The 22,647-nt window shown below is 49.6% G+C and overlaps 3 pseudogenes across 2 annotated transcripts in view; 2 read left to right on the top strand and 1 right to left on the bottom strand.

Moving 5' to 3' along the window:
• GUSBP15 (GUSB pseudogene 15) overlaps window positions 1–22,647 on the bottom strand; it is a 104,680-nt pseudogene that overhangs the window by 5,384 nt on the left and 76,649 nt on the right. The window contains exons 8-10 of the transcript NR_034021.1: window positions 14,291–14,477; window positions 10,611–10,695; window positions 8,598–8,772 (exon numbers count right to left, since the gene is read on the bottom strand). The product of NR_034021.1 is annotated as a GUSB pseudogene 15 (transcript). The remainder of the gene's footprint in view (window positions 1–8,597; window positions 8,773–10,610; window positions 10,696–14,290; window positions 14,478–22,647) is intronic.
• On the top strand, window positions 75–5,361 carry LOC441081 (POM121 membrane glycoprotein (rat) pseudogene; annotated as a pseudogene). Its single transcript, NR_073404.1, has one exon. The product of NR_073404.1 is annotated as a POM121 membrane glycoprotein (rat) pseudogene (transcript).
• LOC340089 (POM121 membrane glycoprotein (rat) pseudogene) lies at window positions 21,710–22,399 on the top strand (annotated as a pseudogene).

A 22,647-nucleotide genomic window follows, 5' to 3' on the forward strand; every position in this document is an offset into this window, starting at 1 on the left:
ATGGTTTGGCTCTGTCCGCACCCAAATCTCATCTTGAATTGTAACAATTCCCATGTGTCAAGGGTGGGGCCAGGTGGAGATAACTGAATCATGGAGGCAGTTTCCCCCATGCTGTTCTCATGGTAGTGAATAAGTCTCATGAGGTCTGATGGTTTTATAAATGGATGTTCCCCTGCACATGCTCTCTCCTGCCCACCATGTCTGACTAAATTTTGTATTTTTACTAGAGACGGGCTTTCACTATGTTGGCCAGGCTGGCCTCCAACTCCTGATCTCGTGATCCGTCCACCCCGACCTCCCAAAGTGCTAGGATCATAGGCATAAGCCACCACACCCGGCCTCTTTTTTTTCTTTTTCTTTTTTTTATCTGGAGACTGAGTTTTGCACTCGTTGCCCAGGCTGGAGTGCAATGGTGCGATCTCAGCTCACTGCAGTCTCCACCTCAGCAGGAGAGCAGGAATCTTCAGTGATCCACGGGCAAATATGCAGCCATTGTGGGCACCTGTTCCTCCCGCGACCTTTGTGCCCACGTCTCTCCCTCCAGTACCTACTGCACGACCCCCCACGTCCGCCTCCTGCCATTGCCAGCAGGTGCCTTGCGCGGGTACCTGGCTGTGCTTATTCATCCATTATGGTCGCTCTGTCACTGGTGCCATTATGTGCTCACATGCCCACTCCCTCAGGTTTAGAAGTCGCGTTGCCCGGCAACAGAACAATCTGCTGGCTTAGCCTTTGGCCAAGTTGGCAGCTGGACGAGGACGCTCAGAGCCCAGCTCTTGAGAGTTCAAGTATCCGACAGTTCCCCACTGCTCCCAGGAGCGGTTACCCGGGCACTCTGTGCCCCTCATTCCTGTTTGGGCCAAGGCCGAGGACCTGCGAGTAGGGCTCAGTTGCCTGGAGCCCCTTCAGCCCATCCCCCAGTTCACTTTGCTTGTGGGATCTCCCCGTTGCTCCTGCCCCTGGACTGAGTGGCAGGCCATCCTACAAACACCCGGACACTCGACATCACTGGTGTCAAGACAACTCTAAGAAGGTTTTCCGTGATCCTGCAAGACCTGTGTTCCATCCTGGTGATTCCGTCTTCAATTTCACTGCACAGGTACCACAGTAAGCCAGTGCTGTGTGCTCCGAGTTCCAGGGCATCCCCCAGCCCAGCCACTACACTGAGCACAAGGACTCTGTGGGGCCCAGGAGCAGGTAGTCACCCCTTTGGGGTCCACAACACCCGGCTGTCCCCAGACTTGTGTCCAGGGAAGATAGTGTTGAGGGCCCTCAAGGAGAGCGGGGCAGGGATGCCTGAGCAGGACAAGGACCCCAGAGTCCAAGAAAATCCTGATGATCAGAGAACGGTCCCCGAGGTCACCGGGGATGCACGGTCTGCATTTTGGCCCCTGCGGGACAATGGAGGCCCCTCTCCCTTTGTGCCCAGGCCCGGGCCTCTGCAGACAGACCTCCACGCCCAGAGCTCAGAAATCAGATATAACCACACATCCCAGACATCCTGGACGAGCTCGAGCACCAAACGAAATGCCATCTCCAGCTCCTACAGCTCCACGGGAGGCTTGCCGGGGCTAAAGCAGAGGAGGGGGCCAGCCTCATCCCGCTGCCAGCTGACCCTCAGTTACTCAAAGACAGTGAGTGAGGACAGGCCTCAGGCTGTCTCTTCGGGTCACACACGGTGTGAAAAGGGGGCAGATACAGCACCAGGGCAGACAATCGCCCCAACGGGTGGCTCCCCCACATCCCAGGACTCTAGGCCCCGTAGACGCAAGATTCCCCTGCTGCCACGCAGGCGAGGGGAGCCTTTGATGCTGCCACATCGCTTAGAGCTGGGGTACCGGGTCACGGCTGAAGACCTGCACCTGGAAAAAGAGAAGGCATTCCAGCGCATCAACAGTGCACTGCACGTTGAGGACAAGGCCATCTCGGACTGCAGACCCTCACGGCCTTCCCACACTTTGTCCTCACTTGCAACAGGGGCTTCGGGTGGGCCTCCCGTTTCTAAAGCACCCACTATGGATGCACAGCAGGACAGACCCAAGTCCCAAGACTGCCTGGGCCTAGTGGCCCCCCTAGCATCTGCAGCAGAGGTCCCCGCTACAGCTCCCGTGTCTGGGAAAAAGCACAGACCACCAGGACCCCTGTTCTCCAACTCAGATCCCCTTCCGGCCAACTCTTCCCACTCCCGGGACTCAGCCCAGGTCACCTCGATGATTCCTGTCCCCTTGACAGCTGCAAGCAGGGATGCCGGCATGAGAAGAACAAGGTCGGCTCCTGCAGCTGCCGCAGCAGCCCCTCCCCCCTCCACATTGAACCCCACGTCGGGGTCACTACTCAATGCAGTGGATGGAGGCCCCTCACATTTCTTGGCCTCAGCCACAGCTGCAGCACGTGTCCAGAGGTCAGAAGTGAGATATAACCAGAGATCCCAGACCTCCCGGACCAGATCGTGCCTCAAACGAAATGCCAGCTCCAGCTCCCACAGCTCTACGGAAGGCCTCCCGCAACTAAAGCGGAGGAGGGGGCCAGCCTCATCCCACTGCCAGCTGGCCCACAGTTCCTCAAACACAGTGAGTGAGGATGGACCTCAGGCTGTCTCTTCGGGTCACCGCTGTGAAAACAAGGCAGGTACAGCACCAGGGCAGACACTTGCCCCCAGGGGTGGCTCCCCCAGATCCCAGGCCTCTAGGCCCCACATCAACACTGCACTGCACGTTGAGGACAAGGCCATCTCGGACTGCAGACCCTCACGACCTTCCCACACTTTGTCCTCATTTGCAACAGGGGCTTCGGGTGGGCCTCCCGTTTCTAAAGCACCCACTATGGACGCACAGCAGGACAGACCCAAGTCCCAAGACTGCCTGGGCCTAGTGGCCCCCCTAGCATCTGCTGCAGAGGTCCCCTCTACAGCTCCCGTGTCTGGGAAGAAGCACAGACCACCAGGACCCCTGTTCTCCTCCTCAGATCCCCTTCCTGCCACCTCTTCCCACTCCCGGGACTCAGCCCAGGTCACCTCGCTGATTCCTGCCACCTTCACAGCTGCAAGCAGGGATGCCGGCATGAGAAGAACAAGGTCGGCTCCTGCAGCTGCCGCAGCAGCCCCTCCCCCCTCCACATTGAACCCCACGTCGGGGTCACTACTCAATGCAGTGGATGGAGGCCCCTCACATTTCTTGGCCTCAGCCACAGCTGCAGCACGTGCCCAGAGGTCAGAAGTGAGATATAACCAGAGATCCCAGACCTCCCGGACCAGATCCTGCCTCAAACGAAATGCCAGCTCCAGCTCCAGCTCCAGCTCCCACAGCTCTACGGAAGGCCTCCAGGAACTAAAGCGGAGGAGGGGGCCAGCCTCATCCCACTGCCAGCTGGCCCACAGTTCCCCAAACACAGTGAGTGAGGACGGACCTCAGGCTGTCTCTTCGGGTCACCGCTGTGAAAACAAGGCAGGTACAGCACCAGGGCAGACACTCGCCCCCAGGGGTGGCTCCCCCAGATCCCAGGCCTCTAGGCCCCGCATCAACACTGCACTGCACGTTGAGGACAAGGCCATCTCGGACTGCAGACCCTCACGGCCTTCCCACACTTTGTCCTCACTTGCAACAGGGGCTTCGGGTGGGCCTCCCGTTTCTAAAGCACCCACTATGGATGCACAGCAGCACAGACCCAAGTCCCAAGACTGCCTGGGCCTACTGGCCCCCCTAGCATCTGCTGCAGAGGTCCCCTCTACAGCTCCCGTGTCTGGGAAGAAGCACAGACCACCAGGACCCCTGTTCTCCTCCTCAGATCCCCTTCCTGCCACCTCTTACCACTCACGGGACTCAGCCCAGGTCACCTCGCTGATTCCCGCGCCCTTCACAGCTGCAAGCAGCGATGCCGGCATGAGAAGAACAAGGCCTGGCACCTCGGCTCCTGCAGCTGCAGCAGCAGCCCCTCCCCCCTCCACATTGAACCCCACGTCGGGGTCACTACTCAATGCAGTGGATGGAAGCCCCTCACATTTCTTGGCCTCAGCCACAGCTGCAGCACGTGTCCAGAGGTCAGAAGTGAGATATAACCAGAGATCCCAGACCTCCCGGACCAGATCCTGCCTCCAAGGAAATGCCAGCTCCAGCTCCCACAGCTCTACGGAAGGCCTCCCGCAACTAAAGCGGAGGAGGGGGCCAGCCTCATCCCACTGCCAGCTGGCCCACAGTTCCTCAAACACAGTGAGTGAGGACGGACCTCAGGCTGTCTCTTCGGGTCACACCCGCTGTGAGAAGAAGGCAGGTACAGCACCAGGGCAGACACTTGCCCCCAGGGGTGGCTCCCCCAGATCCCAGGCCTCTAGGCCCCGCATCAACACTGCACTGCACGTTGAGGACAAGGCCATCTCGGACTGCAGACCCTCACGGCCTTCCCACACTTTGTCCTCACTTGCAACAGGGGCTTCGGGTGGGCCTCCCGTTTCTAAAGCACCCACTATGGATGCACAGCAGGACAGACCCAAGTCCCAAGACTGCCTGGGCCTACTGGCCCCCCTAGCATCTGCTGCAGAGGTCTCCTCTACAGCTCCCATGTCTGGGAAGAAGCACAGACCACCAGGACCCCTGTTCTCCTCCTCAGATCCCCTTCCTGCCACCTCTTCCCACTCCGGGGACTCAGCCCAGGACACCTCGCTGATTCCTGCCCCCTTCACACCTGCAAGCAGGGATGCCGGCATCAGAAGAATGTTTCGTGTTCGAAATTGTTTGAGGGGTTTGGGTTTATTTTTGTTGGTTTTTTCTTTTTTTTTTTTGCTTACGTGGGCATCCTTCAGCTTTTAATAATCTGAAAAATTCTATTTACCCATTGTCAATGTGTATAAATTAATCTCAGTCAATTTTATACAATAAAAGGTGAACTTTTATCCATCAAACAATAATTTAACAAAAAATGTACCGGAAGAAGAATGTTCATTACAAATATAGGAAACATAAATATTACCAAATATTGGCAAGCACTAAAATGTTCAGAAATATAAGTCTATTACAGTTATAGCTCTCTCAAGCAAAAAAACAGCAGAGAAAAACTTAGTTTTCCTGAGGGGCTATTTATTTACTTAGGGATTTGTTAAAAGGTCAAATGGGGTCACACAGAATACTAAGAAGAGCTGTTCACCCAGGCCTCACTAAGAACTCTTCTTCATGCAGTAGCTATATAGTAATATGACAACTGCTCCTACGACCCAAAGAGGAACTACAGCAACTACTCTTTAGCATCTGTTGCTCCCAACTCTGCTTTGCAATTATATGACTCAAGCATTCTGGCTCCGTTAACTATTACTGCTGTTACTCCCAAGTAAATTCCCTCTAAAAAATAAAAATTTTTAAAGCTGTAATTTAAGCTCTCTGCTGCCTCATGACTTCAATTCCATCAGAGTTACGCATTGTTTCCTCTGTACATCTTTGCTCTGCTTCCATTGCTAATTCCCTAGTAAAGTGTTGTATATTCAAAGTTCCAAAGAAACAGAATATCCAAGACATCACCAATCATCCAAAACACAGTGTAGGAGGCCACAGTTAAGAGAAGCAACACCATTAGCTCTTTTTATAGGCTCGAGAACAACAGGATGCTTTGGTCCTGTATCAGCAGGATGCTTTTTGGGTAGATCCTACTGCCACCCTACTATCGGGTAGATCCTACTGTCACCCTAGCTATGGGCACATGTCAGAGTCCCATGTAATAAAGGAGACAAAAGGAAACCACCACGAGTATAAACTAAGAAAAGTACTCCAAGGTTTCTAAGAATGGAGCTGTATAACTCACTTTGCCCCGTTTGTTACTTCTCCACGGTACTTACCACCACCTATTACATATATTTTGTTTATAGTCAGTCTTCCCCCATTAGAATGAAAGTTCCGTGAGGATAGGACTATACAGTCAGCCCTCAGTATCCATGGGGGACTGGTTTCAGGATCTCCTGAGGGTAACAAAGGATACTCAAGTCCCTGATATAAAATGACATAGTATTTGCACATCACCTTTGCACATCCTCCCATATACTTCATATCAACTCTAGATCACTCATAATATCCGATGTAAATGTCATGCAAATAGTTATTGTACTATATTGTGTAAGGAATAAGGACAAGAAAAAAGTCTGTACATGTTCAGTACAGACGCAATTTTTTTTTCCAATATTTCCAATCCTTGGTTGCCTTAACGGATGTAGAACCCAGGAATAAGTTCTGGTGTCCTATTGCATAGTAGGATGAGTATAGTTAACAATAACATATTATATATTTGAAAATAGCCAGAAGAGTAGATTTTGAATTTTCTCCCTACAGAAAAATCATTATGCAAATTACCCTGATTTGATCATTACACATTGAGTACATGTATTAAAACATCACATTCTACCCCATATATATGTACAGTTATTATGTGTCCATAAAAATTTAATGTCAATGTGTGAAATAAAATGAAAAAATAAAAATTTTTAAAGCTGTAATTATCTCCATCTGGTAGGAATATATACAATCTGAAATAAAAAATATATTTGTAATTGTTAGGACAAAATAGATTATACATTAAGTCTGCAAATTATAAATTATAAAATTCTCACAGAACCTGAAAAATTATTGATACTGTTAAATATTTAAAAAGCTGTCCTTGGAGAGAAAGAAACCTATCAGATTTACATCAACAAGTGTAATATGTCAGCCTATTACCATCTGCTACAGACTGCATGTTTGTGTTCCCTCAAAATTCATATGATAGGCCCGGCGCGGTGGCTCATGCCTGTAATCCCAGCACTTTGGGAGGCCGAGGCGGGTGGATCATGAGGTCAGGAGATCGAGATCATCCTGGCTAACATGGTAAAACCCCGTCTCTACTGAAAATACAAAAAATTAGCCGGGCGCAGTGGCGGGCGCCTTAGTCCCAGCTACTGAGGAGGCTGACGCAGGAGAATGGCGTGAACCCAGGAGGCGGAGCTTGTAGAGAGCCGAGATTGTGCCACTGCACTCCAGCCTGGGTGACAGACAGAGCGAGACTCTGTCTCAAAAAAAAAAAAAAAAAAAAAAAAAATTCATATGATAAAGCCCTAACCCCCAAGGTGAGGATACTGGGAGGCGTGGCCTTTAGGAGAGAATTAGGTTTAGATGAGGTCATGAGAATAGAGCCCCTATGGTGGCATTACTTCCTTTATAAGAAGAGACACTAGAGCTGCTTTTCTCCCTACCATGTGAGGATACCGAGAGAAGATGGCCATTTCCAATCTAGGAAGCAGGCCCTCTTTAAGAAACATAATTTGCCAACACTTTGATCTTGCACTTCCAGTCTGCAGAACTGTGAGAAATATCTGTTTTTTTTTGTTTGTTTGTTTTTGTTTTTTTTGAGACAGAGTCTCATTCTGTCATCCAGGCTGGAGTACAGTGGTGCGATCATGGCTCACTGCAACCTCCGCCTCCCAGGTTCAAGCAATTCTCCCACCTCAGCCTCCCAAGTAGCTCAGACTACAGGCGTGCACCACCACGCCCAGCTAATTTTCGTAGAGACAAGGTTTTGCCATGCTGCCCAGGCTAGTCTCAAACTCCTGAGCTCAAGTTATCCACCTGCCTCGGCCTCCCAAAGTGTTAGGAATACAGGCATAAGCCACCACGCCTGGTCAAAATATCTACTGTTTAAGCTACCTAATTTATGGTATTCTGTTTTAGCAGCTGAAGCAGACTAAGATACCATCCTATAAGCTACAGACCAGCACTATCCAATAGAACTTTATATGACGAGCAAATGTTTTATATCTGTGCTATCCCTTATGTTAGCCACTAGCCACATGTATCCATCAAGTATTTGAAATATGGCTAGTGCAACTAAAGAACTTAATTTTTAATTTTCTTTTTTTTTTTGAGATGGAGTCTCGCTCTGTCCCCCAGGCTGGAGTGCAGTGGCGCCATCTCGGCTCACTGCAAACTCTGCCTCCCAGGTTCACGCCATTCTCCTGCCTCAGCCTCCTGAGTAGCTGGGACTGCAGGCGCCCGCCACCACGCCCGGCTAATTTTTTGTATTTTTAATAGAGATGGGGGTTCACCGTCTTAGTAAGGATGGTCTCGATCTCCTGACCTAATGATCTGCCCGCCTCGGCCTCCCAAAGTGCTGGGATTACCGGCGTGACCCACCATGCCCGGCCAATTTTTATTTTATCTTATTTAAATAACCACATGTGGCTAGTGGCTAATGTATTGAACACTACAGCTGTAGACAATATGAAATAAATATAAAGCAGTCTCAACTTTGGAAAAACAGAAGACTCTTACTGCCTCATAATATAGATGAAAAATGAAATACTAAGATAAGTAAAATGTTCTTTAAAGAACAAAAACAAAAGAAAACCTAATGAAAGCTATAAAAGTCCATTGGATAATAATGCTACCAGTACTAAGGAAGTACAGCCCCTAAGAGTGACTTGCAGTCACAAATATAAAAATGACTATTCAACTGAACTCCTAAGGTGAAAATTTCTTATTCACCATGCTCCAAAATGGTCTGTAATATTCTTCAGAGATGGCATGGTGGGGGAGGCAAGTGGCATCTCTGCCCAGAGAGAATACACAAGCAGAAAGTTCAACACCGCTTACCTGGTGAAACCCTACAAGCGTTTCCACTCCATACGCGCTCTGAATAATGGGATTGTGATGTCTTACACCAATTCTCAAACTGGGCGGCCAGCTGCAGCCGAATCAACTCCAGGTGCCCGTAGTTGCGATACCAAGAGTAGTAGCTGTTCACACGGATCACATCCACATACAGAGCCTAGGACCAGAGCAGCAGAGCCCGTTCAGCAACCACAAGACCGCATGACTCAGTACTCACATGCTGTGGGGGCTCCTCTGACAGAGAAGGTAAGAAGGGGATGTAATCCCAGCACTCTGGGAGGCTGAGGCAGGAGGGTGGCTTGTGGCCAGGAGTTCGAGACCAGCCTGGGCAACACAGCAAGACCCCAGCTCTACAAAAAATAGTATCAAGAAAATCAGCACGGCACAGTGGCTCATGCCTGTAATCCCAGCACATTGGGAGGCCAAGGTGGGAGGATCACTTGAGCCCAGGAGTTTGAGACCAGCCTGGGCAACGTCGTAGGACTCCATTTCTACAAAACAAAACAAAAAGCCTACAACGGGAAGAGCTGCCTCTCGGGGCTGAGAACATCCAACTGCACCAATTTAGATCCTGAAATTACCCTGCCCCACAAGCAACAAACATGGTCACAAAGTGGCCCAAAGGAGGCAGGCCTGTGATTGCACACTGACGCTCACGACGTGTGCAGCTGGGAAGGGCTGTGAGAGGCAGAGCAGCTGCCAACACGCAGTCCTCAGCCAAAACCCAGGGCCCCCGCCACTGGAACTGACTCCTCTCCAGGCAGCACTCCCAGCACTGGGCATCCCCTCACCTTGCCCTGGAGAAGCCCTCCCACCCAAGGGGCCAATGCAGTCATTCTCGCAGATAATCTTTTTCCGCTTTGTTTGGAAGACAGAGTCTCGCTCTGTTGCCCAGGCTAGAATGGAGTGGCACAATAATGCAAGCTCTGCCTCCCACGATCAAGCGCAGGCGTGGTGGCATGTGCCTGTTATCCCAGCTACTTGGGAGGCTGAGGCAGGAGAATTGCTTGAACCTGGGAGGCGGAGGTTGCACTGAGCTGAGACTGTGCCACTGCACTCCAGCCTGGGCAACAGAGCAAGACTCTATCTTAAAAAAATAATAAAAAATAAAAAAGAATGCTAGTATCAGCCAGGCACGGTGGCTCATGCCTGTAATCCCAGCACTTTAGGAGGCTAAGGCAGGAGGATCACTTGAGCTCAAGAGTTTGAGACTGGCCTGGGCAACATAGTGAGATCCCATCTCTACAAAAACATTTAAAATTAGCCGGGCACAGTGGTGTACCCCCGGAGTCCCAGCTACTTGGAAGGCTGAGGCAAGAGGGTTGCTTAGGCCCAGGAATTCAAGGCTGCAGTGAGCTGTGATCACACCACTGCACTCCAGCCAGAGCAACAGAGTAAGACCTTGCCTTCACACACACACACAAAAAAACAAAAAACTCAGGTTCCAACCCTGGAGTTACTAAATCAGGATCTCAGAACGCAGAGATCTGGCATTTCAATAAAACTTCCCCTGGAGATTCTGATCAGCCAGGTTTGGGCCAGATGAACTCTAAGCTCACTTAAACCTTTGACATTTTATGAGTCTATTAAATCGAGTACAAAAAATGCTGAGTCCAAACCGGGCAAACAAATCCCATCTCCCTATGCCCAGCCTCCTTGGATTCAGAAAGCCACACTGCCTGGAGAGTAAGCAGAGAGAGAATTGTCATTAACCCAAAGACCATCTTTGAAAACAGACTGGCCGCGGCTGAGTGCGGTGGCACACGCCTGTAACCCCAGCCCTTTGGAAGGCCGAGGCAGGAGGATCACTTGAGCCCAGGAGTTCGAGACCAGCCTGGGCAACATGGCAAGACCCTGTCTCTATCTTTCTAAGTAAAACAAAATAAAAAGCTCAGACTGGCAGCACATGGTTCTTTCCAGCTGTTCCCATGAGCAGGCTTCAGGACAAGCCCAGGCAAAGGCAGGGAGAAATGGGGTGGGGACCCCCAGGCTCACCGCCTTGTCTGCTGCGTAGGTGGAGTTGGTCCCAAAGGTCACAGGCTGGGAGGGGTCCAAGGCTTTGGTGTGAGCAATCACCATCCTGTCCACAAAAGAGAGAAGACACAGGTTCCGTCAGTCCGGGAAAGGCTCAGACAACCTCCCATCCTCTCTGTCCCATCTTCCCCTGCCAGAACACAACTGGGGGCCAGGCACGATGGCTCACGCCTGTAATCCCAGCACTTCAGGAGGCTGAGGCAGGCAGATCACTGAGGTCAGGGGTTCAAGAACAGCCTGGCCAACATGGCAAAACCCCATTTCTACTAAATATACAAAAATTAGCCAGGCTTAGTGGCACGCATCTGTAACTCCAGCTACTCGGGAGGCTGAGGCACAAGAATTGCTTGAACCCGGGAGGTGGAGGTTGCAGTGAGCCGAAATCACGCTACTGCACTCCAGCCTGGGCCACAGAGCAAGACCCTGCCCCAAAACAAACAAACAAACAAACAAACAAACAAACAAAAAAAAAGAAAGAAAGAAAAGAAAAAAAAAAAAAAAAAACAAAGCACAGAGCCGCTGCTTTCTTCCCTAACTTGAGATGTATTTTACATAAGGGCACGTTCCTCTAGTCCTAGACCGAGCTCTCTAACAACACTCTTTCTCCCCCACCCCTGAATCCAACTCCCCCAGAGGCGTAGCCACCCTGCCGGGTACACAGAGCTGAGGTCACTGGACTGAACACTGCCAGAAATGAGGTTCACTTCCTGAAATAGCTCTTGAACACAGGAGTGAATGGGCTGTGGATTCAGGTGGAATATTTATTAATGCATCAAGCAAACAGGTAGTGCGAGGTGGGAGGGAGGCATGAGGCTGGGTGCTAGGTGCTCAGTAATGACTCAAATCTAAGTCCACAGGTCCTGGGCAGTGGGAGTGGAGATGCATGCACAGAAAAACGGTGCAAGTGCCAGGCGAGGTGGCTCAAGCCTAGAACCCCAGCACTTTGGGAGGCTTACTTGAGACCAGGCGCTTGAGACCAGCCTGGACAACATAGCAAGACCTTGTTTCTACAACAAATTTAAAAATTAGGGCCGGGCATGGTGGCTCAAGCCTGTGAGCACTTTGGGAGGCCAAGGCAGGTGGATCACGAGCTCAAGAGTTCGAGACCAGCCTGGCCAACATGGTGAAACCCCATCTCAACAAAAAATAAAGAAGAAAACTAGCTGGGCATGGTGGCGTGAGCCTGTAATCCCAGCTACTCGGGAGGGTGAGGCAGGAGAACTGTTTGTACCCAGGAGGTAGAGGATGCAGTGAGCCAAGATCGCAACACTGCTCTCCAGCCTGGGAGACAGAGCAAGACTCTGACTCGTGGGGAAAAAAAAATATTAAAATTTAGCCTGGCAAGGCAGCGCACGTCTGTGGTCTCAGCTATTTGGGAGGCTGAGTGGGGAGGATCGCTTAAGCCCAGGAGGTCGAGATGGCAACGAGCTATGATTGCACCACTGCACTCCAGCCTGGGCAACAGAGTGAGACCCTGACTCTGAAAAACAAACAATGAAAGAAATGTTGCGAATGGAAATGACAAGTGGTGGCAGGAATTGGGCACTCTATGAGACAACAGACACATCCCCGATTGGAGAGTCAGGGACAGGCTCTTAGAAGAAATGGCCTTTATGCTGAGTCAAGTTAACCAGGAGGGATGAAGGGAAGAGGCTCCCAACAGAGGGACCAGTCCGTGCTCAGAGCTCCCAGCATCTGCCCAAGGCCTCCACAGAACAGACTGTTGTGTTTTTGTTTTGTTTTGTTTTGTTGAGATACAGAGTCTCATTCTGTAGCCCAGGCTGGAATGCAGTGGCATTATCTCAGCTCATTGCAATCTCTGCCTCCTGGTTCACCTGAGGCGATTCTCCTGCCTCAGCCTACCTGGTAGCTGGGATTACAGACGTCCACCACCATGCCCAGCTAATTTTTGTATTTTTAGTAGAGACAGGATTCACTACCTGTTGACCAGGCTGGTCTCGAACTCCTGACCTCGGGTGATCCACCCACCTCAGCCTCCCAAACTGCTGGGATTACAGGCGTGACCCACCGCATCCGGCCTAGACCGTTGTTGAAGCTGGTTTTCTTCTTCTTTCCTCAGTTCTTTTCTTTTACATCTTCCCCCCATCATTGCTCTGCCCATCCGAAGGCTGTGGCTGGCACAGGACAGAATAGAACCTCCTAGCCTCAAGTTCCAAACCCACACTCTCCAATAGCCAGGCTCTCAGATGGGAAGCTTCAAAGCCTTGTGACAGCCTGGCTGAACCTCTCCAGCCTGGGCCCTCCCTCCATTTCCTGCCCCGGAAACAGGCATCTCCTCTGGCCACCTCCCAAAGCCTGTCTGGAAGCCTCAGGCACCCGCTCCTGGAAGCCTGTACGATTCACAACAAACGGCCTGTCCACCCAGTCGTGCTGAGCACACCCCTATTCCCCCGAGCTCTGAATTGTCCTTTGCCCAGGCTAGGACAACATCTCAGAGCCTTCTGCCTGCTGCAGACTCGGCTCAGCCCAAATCACTCCATGAAATTGGGGTGTGGCATCTGCCTCAAGGAGCATTTCTACAACCTCTGCTGCCTCTACCGCAAATGAAACTGGCTCTCACCCACTGGCTCTCGGTGACGGGCACAGTGCGGAGCCCCACAGGGAGTGTGTAGAAGTCAAAGGCCCCAGTGACTTCTGTGCAGTCAACCGCACCTACGACAGCCAAAGCGCCAGGTGTGAGCGCCCCGACAGCCTGAGCCCCATCTGGCCTGCCCTACAGCAGGAAGACCCCTCGTGCATGCACCCCAGAAGTCGCCACTGGGCCTGCAGAGAAGCAGCAACCAGAGGCTCTGCCCTTCACTGGCTGACCCTGGGACCTGCCCTTCAAAATCAGGCCTTCTCCTTGACCAGACGAGGTGGCTCATGCCTGGAATCCCTACACTTTGGGAGGCTAAGGCAGGAGGATCACCTGAGTCCAGGAGTTCAAGACCAGCCTGGGCAACCTAGTAAGACCCCAACTCTATAAAAAGGAGTTTTTTTTTTTTGAGACAGTCTCACTCTGTCACCCAGGATAGAGTGCTGCGGCATGATCTCAATTCACCGCAGCCCCTGCCTCCTGGGTTCAAGCAATTCCCCTGCCTCAGCCTCCCGAGTAGCTGGGATTACAGACGTGCACCATCATGCCCTGCAAATTTTCATATTTTAGTAGAGACGGGGTTTCACCATGTTGGCCAGGCTGGTCTCCAACTCCTGGCCTAAAGTGATCCGCCCGCGTCAGCCTCCCGAAGTGCTGGGATTACAGGTGTGAGCCACCATGCCCGGCCTACAAAAAAAATTTTTTTAATTAGCCAGGCATGGTGGCATGTGCCTGTAGTCCCAGCTACTCAGGAGGCCAAGGTAGGAGGATTGCAGCTCAAAGCTGCAGTGAGCTGTGATCAGGCCATTGCATTCCAGCCTGGGTGACAGAGTGAGACCATCACAAAAACAAACAAACAAATAAATAAATAAATAAATAAATAAATAAATAAATAAAAAATCTGGGCCTCCCACCAAGGGTGGGAAACATCAGAAAGCTCAGAGGACCACACCTGCCCGTTCACCTGTCCTGGGCTCCTGCTGAAGCCAGGGCTACCAGATGGGGGCAAAAGACCTCCCTTACGCAAGTCCCAAACCACCATTACCTCCCACGAGTACAGGTAGGCGGGGTGTTCGTGCATCAGGTACGGCCACCAGAGGTTGGCACCAGCACCTTCAGCTGGCCCTGGGTCCCAGCCTGGTTGTCCACGACTTTGTTTTCTGCATTCAAAAGACACACTTCCAACTTGAACTGGTTACTGCACTTGACGGAGATCTGGTAATTCACCAGCCCTGCAGGAGGCAAGAGAGACCAGGGCTTAGGGAGGGACATGACCTGGGTCACACAAACGGGAAGGCCCCACAATGACCACTCCCAGGCACTCTCATTTGCTTCTGTTGCTTTTTTTTTTTTTTTTTTTTTGAGATAGAATCTCGCTCTGTCACCCAGGCTGGAGTGCAGTGGCATGATCTGGACTCACTGAAACCTCTGCCTCCCAGGTTCAAGTGATTCTCCTGCCTCAGCCTCTGGAATAGCTGGGATTACAGGCACCTGCCACCACATCCAGCTAATTTTTGTATTGTTAGTAGAGACGGGGTTTCACCACATTAGCCAGGATGGTCTTGATCTCCTGACCTCGTGATCCGCCTGCCTCGGCCTCCCAAAGTGCTGGGATTACAGGCTTGAGCCACCGTGCCCGGCCCTGAACCAATGCACCCAGCCCGCTTTTAATTTAATTTTTTAATTTTTTTTTTTTTTTTTTTTTTTTTTTTTTGAGATGGAGTCTCACTGTCACCCAGGCTGGAGTGTAGTGCTGCGATCCTGACTCGCTGCAACCTCCACCTCTGGAGTTCAGGTGATTCTCCTGCCTCAGCCTTCCGAGTACCTGGGAATACAGGAATGCACCACCATGCCCGGCGAATTTTTCTATTTTCAGTAGAGACGGAGTTTTGCCATGTTGGCCAGGCTGGTCTCGAACTCCTGAACTCAGGTGATCCACCCGCCTCAGTCTCCCAATAGATTACATATATTATTAATGAATTGCTTCCTTTAACACCCTATTCATTGAATTTTCCAGTAAACCACAATTACTAATTACTCCTGAAATCAGAAAAGAGGTTAAAAAGATTTTATAACAGTATCCTATGAAATCTACTACTTTCAAGTAATAGTAGTTGAATTACCAAAACCCGTCACTCAAGCCAATGACTACAATTAAGATATGAGTAACATTTCCTAGATAAATAAAGTCAATTAATTATATTTGCATCTGGGAAATAGAGAAAGTACATATAAGCCATGATTTTGAAGTCAAAAGAGAGAGAATATTTGCCAAGGAGGGGTGAGTTATAGTATGTAATTATAACATACAGAAGTTTTTTGTATGCTGGTAACTAATTTTAATTTCCTACATTTTTATGTAGATTTCTGCTATTCTTGTCCTATTTTCCTAATCATCTTTCTATATGAATGACTACATAATTCTGAGAATACCAAAAGAGACAGACACAGAACCAATCGGATTCCTTTCTTCTTGAAGCTTCTGCACAGCAAAAGAAACTATCAACAGAGTGAACAGACAACCTACAGAATGGGAGAAAATTTTTGCAACAATGCATGTGACAAAGATCTAATGTCCAACACTGATAAGGAACTTAAACAAATTTACAAGAAAAAAAAAAATCTCATTAGAAAGTGGGCACAGGACATAAACAGACACTTCAAAAGAAGACACACATGCGGCCAACAAGCATATGAGAAAAAGCTCAATATCACTGATCATTAGAGAAATGCAAATCAAAACCACAATGGCATACCATCTCACACCAGTCAGTATGGTTATTATTAAGAAGTCAACGCCGGGCATGGTGGCTCACGCCTATAATCCCAGCACTTCAGGAGGCCAAGGCAGGCAGATCGCATGAGGTCAGGAGTTCCAGACCAGCCTGGACAACCTGGCGAAACCCCGTCTCTACTAAAAATACAAAAATTAGCCCAGCGTGGTGGCGGGTGCCTGTAATCCCAGCTACTCAGGATGCTGAGGCAGGAGAATCGCCTGAACCCGGGAGGCAGAGGTTGTAGTGAGCCGAGATCATACCACTGCACTCTCCAGCTTAGGTGACAGAGCGAGACTCTGTCTCAAAAAAAAAAAAAAAAAAATATTTGAATTTTGTTTAAATCGCTAACACATACTGGGCATTTAATAACAAAAAAAAAGGACATGAGATTGTGATCCTTATGAAGGTTTGAGAGGCATTTCACTAGGGTTCAACATACAGCAGTCTGAAACATACTGTAATAATTTAATCCAATGGCTCATCTACAGCACCTAAAAAGATTACAGCAGATTCTCATTATTCAGTGTAGTTACGGTCTAGAAAGTTCCATGAACAAATAAAAAGTTAGGTTTCAGCAAGCTACTGGTCACACTTTTGTAAGCTTACCAACACCTACTTTTGTTGTATGTGTGCTTATTTAATATATATTGTTGGCCAGGCACAGTGGCTAACGCCTGTAATCCCAGCACTTTGGGAAGCCAAGGCGGGCAGATCATTTGAGGTCTGGAGTTCGAGACCAGCCTGGCCAACGTGGTGAAACCCCGTCTCTACTAAAACTACAAAAAAAAAAAAAAAAAATTAGCCAGGCATGGTGGCGCATGCCTGTAGTCTTAGCTACTTGGGAGGCGAAGGCAGGGGAATCGCTTGAACCCAGGAGGCAGAGGTTGCAGTGAGCCAAGACTGCACCACTGCACTCCAGCCTGAGCAACAGAGTGAGACTCTATCTCAAAAAAAATAATAATAATAATTAATTAAATGAAGAATAAATAAATAATATACATTGTTCATTCATTAACATTGAACTCACAGCCAACGGCACTACAGCACTCACGCCTGAATGGAGTTTATTTAATGCATGTATTTTCTCTGTAAGACACATCACAGACTTCTTGGACTTGTGAATGCTAAGCAGCACTTCAGCACTATGCTTGGGGGTTAATTTAAATGGCAAAACAACCAACAAACAGTACAAAAACAGGAAAAGCATGGCATTAAATAGACCACAAAAAGGATACCTGACTATTGTATGAGAGCTGAAAAAGAAGGCAGAATATCATCCTGTTCAAACTCAAATTCTTTGACACTCTGCGCAAACACATGACTATGAAAGTGCTGTGAGTACTGATTTGGGGGTTACAAAAAATAGTAGGTGAGTTCACAAATACAAAAGCTGAAAACAAGGAGGATCGACTGTATTTTCGTAGACAATCTAATCTCAGAAGATTTCAGTTCAGACAAAAATCATAATTACTGTATTACAAAAGGGCACTAGATAGGGGGGAAAGAGTAAAAATCACAATTAAAACAAAGGTTCAAAATTCTGCAGCAACCATATCCAGTTACACTTTAATATGTTTGCGGCAGACTACATTATTGTTCCCAACTCATCACCCCTCCCTATATCTAAAACCTTTCCCCAAGACAATGCAGTTCCTCCTGCTAGAGATCAGGTATATTTATCTATACTATCAATGTTAGCCATGGACAAGGTATGTGCTTTGGCTGACTGAATGTTAGTGGACATGAGAGAAGCAATGGCTTAAAATGTACTTCCAGAACTGGAGTTTCCTTGTGATTCTATCACTGTGACAAAAACACATTCTCAGGTAGTCCACTGATCCAAGGGGGAACAAACACACAGAAAACATACCTAGACTCTATCTGCAGCTTGCAGCCTCACCAAGCCAACAACAGTCAACTCACAGATATGTTAGCAAAAATAAATGTTTTTCGTACCTTAAGTTTTATATAATTATTGACCTGCAGTTAACTGATATACAATATACATTAATCTTAAAATATCAGTATCCCATTAAAAATATTTACATTAAAAACTGAGACCACTTTCTTTCCTCCTTTTTTTTTTTTTTTTTTTAAATTAAGAGACAGGGTGTCTCAATGTTGCCCAAGCTGGAGTTCGGTGGCTAGTGGCTATTCACAAGAACGATCATCGCACACTACCTCAAACTCCTGGGATCAAGCAATCCTCCTGCCTCAGCTTTCCAAGTCGCTGGGACTATAAGTGTGTACCACAGCATGTCAGCTCTCTCTCTCCTTCTTGACCTAAAGCCTAGCATAAAATTAGCTAAGTAGAATGTTTCCAAAGATGCCTGCATCAGTATCTCCCATCCCACATAATTTCTGTTTGATTTTGCCATTCACCCATAAAATGGTGGGATCTACCTCCCCTCCTTGCAAATTTGAGCTGGCCCTCTGATCCTGTCTAAGATCTGAAGCCAGATATTAAGGTACTTCATTAATTTCCATGTTTGTCCTCTATGCAACCTAGCAATCAAGCAAGAAGTCAAAACATACTGACATAGTTTGGATGGGTCCCCACCCAAATCTCACCTTGCATTGTAATAATTCCCACGTGTCAAGGGTGGGGCCGGGTGCAGATAACTGAATCATGGGGATGGTTCCCCCCATACTGTTCTCGCGGTAGTGACTAAGTCTCATGAGATCTGATGGTTTTATAAATGGGAGCTCCCCTGCACATGCTCTCTCCTGCCTGCCACTATGTGAGACATGCTTTTGCACCTCCTTGCCTTCCACCATGATTGTGAGGCCTCCCCAGCCATGCAGAACTGTGAGTCAATTCAACCTCTTTCCTTTATAAATTACCCAGTCTCAGGTATGTCTTTATTTGCAGTGTGAGAACAGACTAATACAATAAGTTGATACCAGTAGAGTGGGGTGCTGCTGTAAAGATACCCGAAAATGTGGAAGCAACTTTGGAAATGGGTAACAGGGAGAGGCTGGAACAGTTTGGAAGGCTCAGAAGAGGATAGGAAAATGTGGGAAAGTTTGGAACTTCCTAGAGACTTGTTGAATGGCTTTGACCAAAATGTTAATAGTGATATGGACAACAAGGTCCAGGCGGAGGTGGTCTCAGAGGCAGATGAGGAATTTGTTGGGAAATGGAGTAAAGTCACTCTTACTATGCAAAGACACTGCAGGCATTGTGCACCTGTATTAGAAACGGGCATAAGATAGGCGGGAAAGAGGGAAAATAAGAATTTTTTTCTAGAGTTCCCTACAGATCTGTGGAACTTTGAACTTGAGAGAGATGATTTAAGGTATCTGACAGAAGAAATTTCTAAGCAGCAAAGCATTCGAGAAGAAGCAGAGCATAAAAGTTCAGAAAATTTGTAGCCTGATGATGCAACAGAAAAGAAAAATCTATTTTCTCAGGAGACTGGGTTGTAGAAATTTGCATAAGTAATGAGGAGCCAAATGTTAATCACCAAGACAATGGGGCAAATGTCTCCAGGGCATGTTAGAGACCCTCACAGCAGACCCTCCCATCGCAGGCCAGGAGGCTTAGAAGGAAAAATGGTTTTGTGGGTCCAGAACCCCCTGCTGTGTGCAGCCTAGGAACTTGGGGCCCTGCATCCCAGCTGCTCCTGCCATAGGTAAAAGGGGCCAAGGTACACCTCAGGCCATGGCTTCAGAGGGTGCAAGTTCCAAGCCTTTCAGGTTCTAGGTGGTGTTAAGCCTGCAGATGCACCGAAGTCAAGAATTAACGGTCATGAACCTCCGCCTTCATTTCAGAAGATGTATGAAAATGCCTGGAAATCCAGGCAAAAGTTTGCTGTGGGGGGGAGGGGAGGGGGGGGCCCTCATGGATAACCTCTGCTAGGGCAGTGTCAAAGGGAAATATGGGGTTGGAGCTCCCACACAGAGTCCCCACTGGGGTACTGCCAAGCAGAGCTGTGAGAAAAGGGCCACCATCCTCCAGACCCCAGAATGGTAGATCCACTGACAGCTTGCACTGTGTGCCTGGAAAAGCTGCAGACACTCAATGCAGCCAGAAGGGGGGCTGTACCCTGCAAAGCCACAGGGGCGGGGCTGCCCAAGACCCTGGGAACCCACTTCTTGCATCACCTAGATGTGACACATGGAGTCAAAGGAGGTCATTTTGGAGCTTTAAGATTTGCCTGCTGGGTTTTGGACTTGCATGGGGCCTGTAGCTCTTTCGCTTTGGCCAATTTCTCCCATTTGAAACGAGTGTATTTACCCAATGCCTGTATCCCTGTGTATCTAGAAAATAACTAACTTGCTTTTGATTTTACAGGCTCATAGGTGGAAGGGACTTGCCTTGTCTCAGATGAGACTTTGGACTATGGAATTTTGAGTTAATGCTGAAATAAGAGTTTGGGGGACTTAGGGGAAGGCATGATTGCTTTTGAAATATGAGGACATGAGATTTGGGAGGGGCCGGGGAAGAATTATATGGTTTGGCTCTGTCCGCACCCAAATCTCATCTTGAATTGTAACAATTCCCATGTGTCAAGGGTGGGGCCAGGTGGAGATAACTGAATCATGGAGGCAGTTTCCCCCATGCTGTTCTCATGGTAGTGAATAAGTCTCATGAGGTCTGATGGTTTTATAAATGGATGTTCCCCTGCACATGCTCTCTCCTGCCCACCATGTCTGACTAAATTTTGTATTTTTACTAGAGACGGGCTTTCACTATGTTGGCCAGGCTGGCCTCCAACTCCTGATCTCGTGATCCGTCCACCCCGACCTCCCAAAGTGCTAGGATCATAGGCATAAGCCACCACACCCGGCCTCTTTTTTTTCTTTTTCTTTTTTTTATCTGGAGACTGAGTTTTGCACTCGTTGCCCAGGCTGGAGTGCAATGGTGCGATCTCAGCTCACTGCAGTCTCCACCTCAGCAGGAGAGCAGGAATCTTCAGTGATCCACGGGCAAATATGCAGCCATTGTGGGCACCTGTTCCTCCCGCGACCTTTGTGCCCACGTCTCTCCCTCCAGTACCTACTGCACGGCCCCCCACGTCCGCCTCCTGCCATTGCCAGCAGGTGCCTTGCGCGGGTACCTGGCTGCGCTTATTCATCCATTATGGTCGCTCTGTCACTGGTGCCATTATGTGCTCACATGCCCACTCCCTCAGGTTTAGAAGTCGCGTTGCCCGGCAACAGAACAATCTGCTGGCTTAGCCTTTGGCCAAGTTGGCAGCTGGACGAGGACGCTCAGAGCCCAGCTCTTGAGAGTTCAAGTATCCGACAGTTCCCCACTGCTCCCAGGAGCGGTTACCCGGGCACTCTGTGCCCCTCATTCCTGTTTGGGCCAAGGCCGAGGACCTGCGAGTAGGGCTCAGTTGCCTGGAGCCCCTTCAGCCCATCCCCCAGTTCACTTTGCTTGTGGGATCTCCCCGTTGCTCCTGCCCCTGGACTGAGTGGCAGGCCATCCTACAAACACCCGCACACTCGACATCAGTGGTGTCAAGACAACTCTAAGAAGGTTTTCCGTGATCCTGCAAGACCTGTGTTCCATCCTGGTGATTCTGTCTTCAATTTCACTGCACAGGTACCACAGTAAGCCAGTGCTGTGTGCTCCGAGTTCCAGGGCATCCCCCAGCCCAGCCACTACACTGAGCACAAGGACTCTGTGGGGCCCAGGAGCAGGTAGTCACCCCTTTGGGGTCCACAACACCCGGCTGTCCCCAGACTTGTGTCCAGGGAAGATAGTGTTGAGGGCCCTCAAGGAGAGCAGGGCAGGGATGCCTGAGCAGGACAAGGACCCCAGAGTCCAAGAAAATCCTGATGATCAGAGAACGGTCCCCGAGGTCACCGGGGATGCACGGTCTGCATTTTGGCCCCTGCGGGACAATGGAGGCCCCTCTCCCTTTGTGCCCAGGCCCGGGCCTCTGCAGACAGACCTCCACGCCCAGAGCTCAGAAATCAGATATAACCACACATCCCAGACATCCTGGACGAGCTCGAGCACCAAACGAAATGCCATCTCCAGCTCCTACAGCTCCACGGGAGGCTTGCCGGGGCTAAAGCAGAGGAGGGGGCCAGCCTCATCCCGCTGCCAGCTGACCCTCAGTTACTCAAAGACAGTGAGTGAGGACAGGCCTCAGGCTGTCTCTTCGGGTCACACACGGTGTGAAAAGGGGGCAGATACATCACCAGGGCAGACAATCGCCCCAACGGGTGGCTCCCCCAGATCCCAGGATTCTAGGCCCCGTAGACGCAAGATTCCCCTGCTGCCACGCAGGCGAGGGGAGCCTTTGATGCTGCCACCTCCCTTAGAGCTGGGGTACCGGGTCACGGCTGAAGACCTGCACCTGGAAAAAGAGACGGCATTCCAGCGCATCAACAGTGCACTGCACGTTGAGGACAAGGCCATCCCGGACTGCAGACCCTCACAGCCTTCCCACACTTTGTCCTCACTTGCAACAGGGGCTTCGGGTGGGCCTCCCGTTTCTAAAGCACACACTATGGATGCACAGCAGGACAGACCCAAGTCCCAAGACTGCCTGGACCTAGTGGCCCCCCTAGCATCTGCTGCAGAGGTCCCCGCTACAGCTCCCGTGTCTGGGAAGAAGCACAGACCACCAGGACCCCTGTTCTCCTCCTCAGATCCCCTTCCGGC

This window comes from Homo sapiens, chromosome 5, assembly GCF_000001405.40.
Source record: "Homo sapiens chromosome 5, GRCh38.p14 Primary Assembly".
Taxonomy (NCBI): domain Eukaryota; kingdom Metazoa; phylum Chordata; class Mammalia; order Primates; family Hominidae; genus Homo; species Homo sapiens.